The sequence below is a fragment of the Homo sapiens genome, chromosome 1 (genome assembly GCF_000001405.40).
Source record: "Homo sapiens chromosome 1, GRCh38.p14 Primary Assembly".
NCBI lineage: Eukaryota > Metazoa > Chordata > Mammalia > Primates > Hominidae > Homo > Homo sapiens.
Window position 1 is genome coordinate 156,183,702 of NC_000001.11, and position 10,374 is coordinate 156,194,075.

Sequence of the window (10,374 nt, forward strand, 5' to 3'; positions counted from 1 at the left end):
TGTGTGTGTGTGTGTGTGTGTGTGTGTGTGTGTGTGTGTGTGTGACGGGGGTTTCACCATGTTGGCCAGGCTGGTCTTGAACTCCTGACCTCGTGATCCACCCACCTTGGCCTCCCAAAGTGCTGGGATTACAGGCGTGAGCCACCGCGCCTGGCCACAAGTAGATTTTATATATACATGTTGTCAAGTCTGTCCCACAGACTCTGGCCGAGCAATGAATGAAAGGAGTACTCAGACACGGGTATCCAGTGAATTCACAGCCCCCCTAAGCCGGTAACGCATTTATTCAGTACAGATTTTTTTTTTTTTTTTTTGAGATGGAGTATTGCTCTGTCGCTCAGGCTGGAGTGCAGTGGCGCGATATCAGCTCACTGCAAGCTCCGCCTCCTGGGTTCATGCCATTCTCCTGCCTCAGCCTCCCAAGTAGCTGAGACTACAGGCACCCGCCACCGTGCCTGGCTAATTTTTTTTTTTTAAATATTTTTAGGAGAGACGGGTTTCACCACTTTAGCCAGGATGGTCCCGATCTCCTGACCTTGTGATCCGCCCACCTCGGCCTCCCAAAGTGCTGGGATTACAGGCGTGAGCCACTGTGCCCGGCCTATTTAGTACAGATTTAACGACAAGGGCTTGGAGCAAACACAATTTGTGGGTAATAAACATTGTCGACCCCCCAAGTAGAGAGCAGTCCTGCAGGCGAATGATCAAAGGTTGGTTTCTGCAGACAGGAGTAAACAAATTTATCTAGATAAGTTCCTTTACATTCCCTTGTTATCTACCCTTTGCTCTCAGGCTCTGGATAAGAGAATTTGGCTGCCTTCAGCCAAATTTTATTTCGAAGCTTTTGCAAAACCTCCCGGCCTTCCAAGAAGGTTTGTGTCTTTCCCTATAATTTCTTCCACCACCCTGACCAATTTCCTACATCTCCCCCTTTTCTGTTTTTTGCATCAGGTTTTGTTGATTGAAGAGTACAGATGTGTGCAGCAACAGGTTTGTCAGGCGTAGCGGTCACTGCTTGTATTTTGGCTTTGCATCCTAGAATTAGTAAATAACGTAAGACAAACCTGAGTATAATCAGTAACATTCCTTTCCAATCAAGGAGTGACATGTAGTGTTACCTAGCACCTCAGTCTAATGTGTGCCATTACTGAGGAACCCCACTTGGGGTAAGTCAATCCCTTCTAGCCTAGCAGTTGCTTTATTAGAAGCTGGGAAGGGGGTGTTTGTCTAAGTAACAGGGTGGAAGAAAGGCAGAATTAGAAGATGGGCCTAATAGAGTGTAGCAGGTACAGGTAGTAGGCAAAGTGAGAGAATAAAAAAGGAACAAATTATTTGGAGTGAACATGTTTGTGTTTGGAGCAGGATTCGCTTAGCCTCCTGAGTTGTCTTCTTTAGCATTCAGTCTGGGGCCTGTGTTGTCTGAGGAAGCCACATTGTCCAGGGCTGAGTCCTGCAGGATTATTTTCTTTATTACCGGGTTAGGTTCTACCCACACTCTGGTAAGGTTTGATGCATTGTGCTGGAATCCAAAGAGGACCTGAGGGGGGTGTGAACACAAGCATATCCTCTTCCTCACGTTAGCAAATCATTTGGACCACACCATACATTACTATTTACATCTTTCCATAAAACTGTGGGTTTTATGTCTCGAGAGGTTTTAGCAAAGTGCTTTTCTATAGCTGATTGAAATTTATCATTTAAATTTAAGAAATTAAGGGTAAATAAGGCTTGTGCTAGTAGTGTTGCAGGGTCCTTACTCATAATTCCCCTTTTTGGTTTTCTGAGCATATTTTTAAGAGAGGAATGGACACATTCTACTATGGCCTATCCTTGGGGGTTATACGGATGCCTGTGGAATGCTGGATATTCCATGTATAACAAAATTGTTGAAATTGTGAACTAGCATAAGCCAGACCATTATCAGTTTTAATTTTTGTGGGTCACCCCATAAGTGCAAAGGTTAAAAGAAGATGTTTAATGACATACCAGGTGGACTCTCCAGGAAGAGCATGAGCACTAATTAAGTGAGAACTGGTATCAACGGATGCATGTACATATCTTAGTTTTCCAAATTCAGGGACTTGAGTAACATCTCTTTGCTATAACTGATTAGGTTCTAGTCCCTAGGGTTAATACCTGTTAAAGGAGGGGACGTGCCTGTGAGCTGGCAATCTGGGCACTGCAGGATAATTTGTTTATCTAGTCTTTGGTTAAGTTGAAATTGTTAAGTTCCTCCAATTTTGGTGGAAAAATTGATGTGATTATGTGGTTTGGTCAAGCAGTGACATCATAACTTGCAGGTCTGCTTGATTATTGCCATAAGCCAGTGGGCCAGGCAGTGAGCTGTGGGCTTGAATAGTGTATGATAAAAATAGGGTGTGTACGTTGATCCAGCAATTGCTGAAGTTGAAGAAAACGTGCACACGGTGGGCTCGACAGTAGACTTAATGAGGCCTGTTTCAAGGTTCTGCAATAAACAGAGTAAGCAAAGTCACCAACAATATTGATAGGCTGAGTGGAAAAGTTCTCCAGGCCAATATTAAGGCTTCAACCCCAGCTCTCTGAGTGCTAGTAAATCCAGAACAAGTGAGGGAATTATGTGGTCTCCACCAAATAGCCACTTTTCCATTTTTACCAGAGCCGTCAGTAAAAAGCATTAAAGTGTTAGGTATGTGCCTACTTTTGTAGGCACAATTACAGGAGTACAAGATAAGAACTGAATGAGTTTGTCAGCAGTAAAGGCATGCTCTATATGGCCTACATAATTAGAAAGTGTTATCTGAAGATTTAGAGATGGGGCAATGCTGCTTCAAATTGCTTTTTACTCAAAGGAATTCTTATGACATCAGGGTCATAACCTAGCAACTGATTGCATCATCTGCAGCTTGTGTAGGTGACTTCAATAACTAGCTGGATATAGGGAGATAGTGTTTTAGTCCCGGTATGTGAGCAAAAAACCCATTCTAGAAAGCATAGCCCTGGGGCCATCTGTCCTATTAATTCTGTTGGGGAATGCTTAGTAGGAAAAACAAACAATAGAACTGAATATCATGGGTCTATGTGATCTAGCTGCCTCTGAGAAATAGCTTGCTCTATTTCCTCAATTTCCCTTTTTGCTGCAGGAGTTAAATACCTGGGAGAGTCTAGGGCTGTATTGCCCTTTAGGATAGAAAACAGGTTTTGTAACTTATCAGTAGTTATGCCCAAGATGGGGTGAAGCAAATTAATACCACCCAGTATTTTTTGATAATCATTTAAGGTGTGTAAGTTGCTAATATTTAATTTAACCTTTTGACATCTTACTGACCGAGAAGTTAGTATGTATCCAAGATACTTCCAAGGAGAGGACAACTGTACTTTTTCAGGTGCTATGATTAAACCTCTTAACTGTGTATTCTTTATGACAGAGGCATAGAAACTGAAAAGCATTGGCTCCATTGGGGCTGCTAGTAAAATATGATCCATAAAATGAATAATCTTGCAATTAGGAAATTCTTTTCTATTGGGGAGCAAAGCCTGATTTATATGATACAGACATATCCAGACACAGGTATCCAGTGAAAGAGTGGGCTAGGACTGTTCAGCATTCCTTGAGGAGGAACTTTCCAATGAGATTTGTGAGCTGGCCTTTCATTATTGATAGCTGGTATTGTAAATACAAATTTTTCTCTGTCCTGTTCTGCAAGGGGAATAGTATAAAAGCAGTCTTGGCCGGGCGCGGTGGCTCATGCCTGTAATCCCAGCACTTTGGGAGGCCGAGGCGGGCGGATCACGAGGTCAGGAGATCGAGACCATCCCGGCTAAAACGGTGAAACCCCGTCTCTACTAAAAATACAAAAAAATTAGCCGGGCGTAGTGGCGGGCGCCTGTAGTCCCAGCTACTTGGGAGGCTGAGGCAGGAGAATGGCGTGAACCCGGGAGGCGGAGCTTGCAGTGAGCCGAGATCCCGCCACTGCACTCCAGCCTGGGCAACAGAGCGAGACTCCGTCTCAAAAAATAAAAAAAATAAAAAAAATAAAAAATAAAAGCAGTCTTTTAAGTCAATAACGACTATAGGCCAATCTTGAGGAATTACCATGGGGGAGGCCCTGTTGAAGGGGCCCCATAGGTTGCAAATTAGCATTGATAGCCCGTAAGTCATGCAAAAGTCTCCGTTTGCCAGACCTTTTGGGAATGACAAAAATGGGTGAATTCCAAGGGCTGTTTGATGGTTCTATATGGCCGGCTTTTAATTGTTCCTCAACTAATTAATGGACTCCTTATAATTTCTCTCCCTTTAAAGGCTACTGTTCTACCCAAATAGGATTTTGAGAGAGCCATGTTAGGGGTAGGGGAGGAATAACAGTGGCCATTACTAGAAAAGGGTTGGTTGTTTACATTATTCATCAAATTCTGCCCTCCAGAGGGGGTATTGACTGGTGTTTAAAGTTGTTTTTGCTAGCATTGACCAGTCCCATGGAGTCATACGGAAGTTGTCTGCTATGGACTCAATTAATCCTTTTGTAAATGGGATAGCGGCTCCGTTTTCTCTAATGCTTTTTCTTATCTCTTTACAAGCATCAAAAGAAAGGGGTTCATGTACCTGATTGCCTTGTCGATCTTGCATTACCAGGCAGGCTAAGAGCTCCCCTTCTAATGCCGCTTGCCTAAGATAGGGTCCCATAACTGTAGCATATCCCTTGTCTTTTTAACAATTTATAGGAGGCTGGGCGGAGTGGCTCACATCTGTAATCCTAGCACTTTGGGAGGCCGAGGCGGACGGATCACCTGAGGTCAGGAGTTTGAGACCAGCCTGACCAACATGGAGAAACCCCATCTCTACTAAAAATACAAAACTAGCCAGGCGTGGAGGCGCATGCCTGTAATCCGTTACTTGGGAGGCTGAGGCAGAAGAATCGCTTGAACCCGGGAGGCAGAGGTTGCGGTGAGCCGAGATCGCGCCGTTGCACTCCAGCCTGGGCGACAAGAGCGAAAACTCCATCTCAAAAAAAAAAAAAACAATTTATTGGAGGGGGGGCTCAGGTATTTTTTCCCAGTGATAGCGGGGCTGAGGTAGAGGGAGGCAGATAGGAAGGTGACTGTTTCTCCTCCCTTCCCTTTTGAGGCTCTTCTGTGTAGAGCAGAGCCAAAGCAGCCCTGACTAAGGCCCATAACGTTAGAGATGTTACTGGGACCTGTTGCCCTTGTGCATAATGTTGTTTAAGATTTCTCCCCACTTGTTCCCAGAGCTCTATGTCTAGCATGCCTTCTTCTGGGAAAAATGGGTTAGGGGAAACAACAGTTTGCATTAGGTCCCTTAATTGAGCCTGTGAAACCGAGGTTCTGCTAGCTTTAAGCAGCTGTTTCAATACTTTTATATACTGTTGCTGTTGAGCTGATAACTGTTGTCCATGATGAAACCCTAGCATGAACAATTCCCTTGAATTTGGAAATCCCAAGTGGGCACCAATGACTTACTGACTTACTGACCGCACAGTCTCTTCACCTTCGTTTTCGAGGGTTCCATTGCAATCCATTGCAGCACTTCTCACATGGGGCACCACCTGCTAAGTCTGTCCCTCAGACTCTAGCCCAGCGATGAATGAAAGGAGTACTCAGACATAGGTATCCAGTGAAAGAGCGGGATAGGGAACTACCAGCACTAGGGGCCGAAGAGAGTTCGCAGCCCCACTAAGCTGGTGACACTCACATTTATTTAGTACAGATTTAATGACAAAGGCTTGGGGCAAACACAATTTGTGGGTAATAAACATTGTCACCCCCCCAAGTAGAGACCAGTCCTGTGTGTGAATGATCAAAGGTTTGTTTCTGGAGACAGGAGTAAACAAATTTATCTAGGTTAGTTCCTTTATATTCCCTTGTTATCTACCCTTTGCTCTCAGGCTCCGAATAAGAGAATTTGGCTGCCTTCAGCCAAATTTTCTTTCGAAGCTTTGCAAAACCTCCCAGCCTTCCAAGAACGTTTGTGTCTTTCCCTGTAATTTCTCCCATCACCCTGACCGCTCTCCTACAATATATAAAATTTATAATATATAAAAAGTATTATAAATAATGTGTAAAATATGTATATATAGAAAATATATTCTATATACAGAGCATTTATATACATATATACAGTTTTTCTTTTTCTTTTTTTGAGACAGAGTCTCATTTTATCACCCAAGCTGGAGTGCAGTGGCATGATCTCAGCTCACTGCAACCTCTGCCTCCCATGTTCAAGCAATTCTCGTGTCTCAGCCTCTCAAGTAGCTGAGATTACAGGTGCACGCCACCACGCCCAGCTAATTTTTGTATTTTTAGTAGAGACAGGGTTTCGCCATGATGGCCAGGATGGTCTTGAACTCCCGACCTCAAGTGATCTGTCCATCTTGGCCTCCCAAAGTGCTGGGATTACAGGCATGAGCCACTGCGCCTGGCCTGCATATTTCTTTTTTCTTTTTTCAAGGAACTGGCTATTTGATTGTAGGAGCTGGCAAGTCTGAAATCTGTAGGGCAGGCCTGCAGGCTGGGAACTCTGGGGACAGCAGGTGATGTTACAGTCTTAATGCAGAATTTCTTCCTCGGGGAAACCTTGGTTTTGCTCTTCAGGCTTTTCAAATGATTAGATGAGACCCACCCACATTATTGAGGCAATCTCCTTTACTTATAGTCAACGGACTAGATGTTAACTGTGCCAGCAAAATAACCTTTATAGCAACATCTAGATTAGTGGGGTTTTTGTTTGTTTTTTGAGACAGAGTCTCCTTCTATTGCCCAGACTAGAGTACAGTGGCGCAATCTGGGCTCACTGCAACCTCTACTCTCAGGTTCAAGTGATTCTCATGCCTCAGCCTCTCAAGTAGCTGGGACTACAGGCACGTGCCACTACACCCGGCTAATTTTTGTATTTTTTTCTTTTTAGTAGAGACAGGGTTTCCCCATGTTGGCCAGGCTGGTCTCAAACTCCTGATCTCAAGTGATCCACCCGCCTCTGCCTCCCAAAGTGCTGAGATTACAGGTGTGAGCCACCATGCCTGGCCTATATTAGTGTTTGATTGAATAAAAAGGTAGTATAACCTAGCCATGTTGATAGAAAACTAACCATCACACTAAGATTGAAATGTCCATTAGATATTTTAAGGCAGTTATAAATAAGTCTGGAGTTTAGAAGGAGGGACCCATCCTAGAAATATCAATTTTTAAAAATAGTAGGCCCAGCACAGTAGCTCATGCCTGTAATCCCAGCACTTTGGGAGGCCAAGGCAGGTGGATCACCTGAGGTCAGGAGTTTGAGACCAGCCTGGCCAACATGGTGAAACCCCATCTCTACTAAAAATACAAACAATTAGCCGGGCACGGTGGCTGGTGTCTATAATCCCAGCTACTTGGGAGGCTGAGGCAGGAGAATCACTTGAACCCATGAGGCAGAGATTGCAGTGAGCCAAGATCATGCCACTGCGCTCCGGCCTGGGAGACAGAGTGAGACTCTGTCTCCAAAAAAATAAATAAATAAAAATAAAAATAGTAAAATACACACAACATAAAGTTTACTATTAATAACATTAATACATACACAGTATTGTGCAACCATCACCACTACCTAGTTCTAGAACATTTTCATTGCCCAAAAGGAAACCCTGAACCCATTAGTTACTTTCCATCCTCTCCCTCAATCTCCAGACTTCCGGCAATCACTTATCCACTAATCTGCTTTTTGTCTCTATTGATTTGTCTATTCTGGTTATTTCAAATAAATAGGATTACCTAATATGTGGCCTTTGTATCTGGTTTATATCACTTAGCTTAATGGTTTCAAGGTTCATCTATGTTGTAGCATACATTCATTCCTTTTTATTGCTTAATACTATTCCACTGTGTAAATATACCACATTTTGTTTACCCATTCATGGGTTGATGGACATTTGGGTTGTTTCTACTTTTGGCAATTGTGAATAGTGCTGCTAAAAATAAACATTTGTGTATGAGTTTTTGTTTGAATACCTGTTTACAGTTGTATTGGGTATATACCCAGGAGTAAAATTGCTGAATCATATGCTAATTTTATGTTTAGCTTATTGAGGAACTGCCACTGTTTTCCACAGCAACTGTAGCATGTTACATTCCCACCAGCAAGATCCGAGGGTTCCAATTTCTCCACATCCTTACCAACGCTCATTTTCGGCTTTTTGTTTGTTTTAATTTTAGCCACCCTAGTGGGTGTGAAGTGGCATTTTATCAACTTGGTTATGATTTGCATTTCCTTAATGACTAATGATGTTGAGCATCTTTTCATGTGCTTCTTGGCCATTTGTATATCTTCTTTGGGGAAAGGTCTATTCAAGTCTTTTGCCCATTTTTCTTTCCTTTTATTTCTTTTATTTCACCTGTGACTATAGACAGGCTCCAAAGAGGAGTTTTCCAGTCTCTTTCCTGGGTTTAATGGAGACTTACCTTACCCTTCTGTGTTATTTTTTAATTTGGTTGTGTGGGCGGCAAGCCACCCAGGTGCCGACACAAGAGACCGAGGACATGAGCTGTTCCAGTATAATAAAATATAAAAGAAGAATAGTTATACCAGATATAGATCTTAGATATGATTATATATATCATTAATCAGTAGTTTGTAGCAATTACTCTTTATTCCAATATTATAATAATCCTCGCTCTATAATCATAACCTAGGAAAAACCAGGCCATACAGAGATAGGAGCTGAGGAGACATAGTGAGAAGTGACCAGAAAACAAGAGTGTGAGCCTTCTGTTATGCCCAGACAGGGCCACCAAAGGGCTCCTTGGTCTAGCGGTAATGCCAGCGTCTGGGAAGATGCCCCTTGCCAAGCGGACCGTGGTCTAGCAGTAGCGGACCGGGAAAGGGAGTCTTCCTTTCCCCGGGGGAGTTTAGAGAAGACTCTACTCCTCCACCTCTTGTGGAAGGCCTGACATTAGTCAGGCCCGCCCGCGGTTATCCGGAGGCCTAACCGTCTCCCTGTGATGCTGTGCTTCAGTGGTCACGCTCCTAGTCTGCCTTGATGTTCCATCTTGTACACCTGGCTCTGCCTTTTAGTTAGCAGTAGCAAATTAGCGAAAATACTAAAAATCTCTGATAAGCAGAAATAATAGTGTAAGCTGTTTCTCTCTTTCTCCTCTCTCTCTCTCTGCCTCGGCTGCCAGGCAGGAAAGGGCCCCCTGTCCAGTGGACACGTGACCCATGTGGCCTTACCTATCATTGGAGATGGCTCACACTCCTTATCCTGCCCCTTTGTCTCGTATCCAATAAATATCAGCGCAGCCTGGCATTCGGGGCCACTACCGGTCTCCGCGTCTTGGTGGTAGTGGTCCCCCGGGCCCAGCGGTCTTTTATCTCTTTGTCTTGTGTCTCTATTTCTACACTCTCTCGTCTCCGCACACGAGGAGAAAACCCACTAACCCTGTCATTTTTCTCCACCTTAATGTCATTTTTCTCCACCTTCAGGTTGTCCCCCATTGCTGCAGTTTTTTGAGTTCCCAAACTTCAAAATTGGCTATGTATCCTCAGTGATTCCTGCTGCATGTTGTCCTCTACTATTTTGGCTCTATAAATAATGAGAAATGTGGCAAGCGCAGTGGCTCACGCCTGTCATCCCACCGCTTCGGGAGACTGAGTCCGCAGCATCGCTTGAGCCCAGGAGTTCAGGTTACAATGAGCTATGATCTTGCCACTGCACTATAGCCTGGGCGATAGAGTAGTATTTTGACTCTAAAAAACAAAAAAGAGGAAAGAAGAAAAAGTTATACAAAAATCACACATTAGATTTGTTCTTTTTTTTTTCTTTTTGAGACAGTCTCGCTCTGTCGCCGTCCAGTGGCACGATCTCGGCTCACTACAACCTCCGGGTTCAAGCGATTCTCGTGCCTCAGCCACCCGGCTAGCTGGGATTACAGGCGCGCGCCATTACTCCCGGCTAATTTATTTCGTATTTTTAGTGGAGACGGGGTTTCGCCAAGGCGGCCAGGCTGGTCTCGAACTTCGGACTTCAGGTGATCCGTCCGACTCGGCGTCCCAGAATTCTGAGATTACAGGCGTGAGCCACCGTGCCCGGCCTTGATTTGAATATAAAGGTTCCAACACTCCCAAACACAAGGTGACCCCATTTACAACTGGATCTTCAATAAGCGTCTGGTGATTCAATTTCCGCCAATTAGAAAGAGCCCAACCAGAACACGCAGGCGCCTTAACGCTGAGGGCATAACGAAGGTAAAGAAGGCGTGGCTACTGCCCAAATCCAAGATGGCTACCAGGAGGCCGTCAGTTCTCGGAAGTGCGGCACATCCTCACTCCTGGGAGGCTCAAAGGCTCAAACGCCATTGGCAGAATCCCCGACAGCTCATCCTCCGCCCCCTGCAGGGGGCGGTAAT

At 44.3% G+C, this 10,374-nt stretch overlaps 1 pseudogene, besides 1 other annotated feature; it reads right to left on the bottom strand.

Annotated features, from left to right (window-relative positions):
• Window positions 1-8,361: 8,361 nt before the first annotated feature.
• LOC124900449 (uncharacterized) lies at window positions 8,362-8,475 on the bottom strand (annotated as a pseudogene).
• Window positions 10,060-10,349: an enhancer, noted in NCBI's record as "active region_1851". NCBI's record gives its function as "activates an Ori minimal core promoter by ATAC-STARR-seq in GM12878 lymphoblastoid cells {active_cell/tissue: GM12878}" and the evidence as "EXISTENCE:reporter gene assay evidence [ECO:0000049][PMID:35858748]".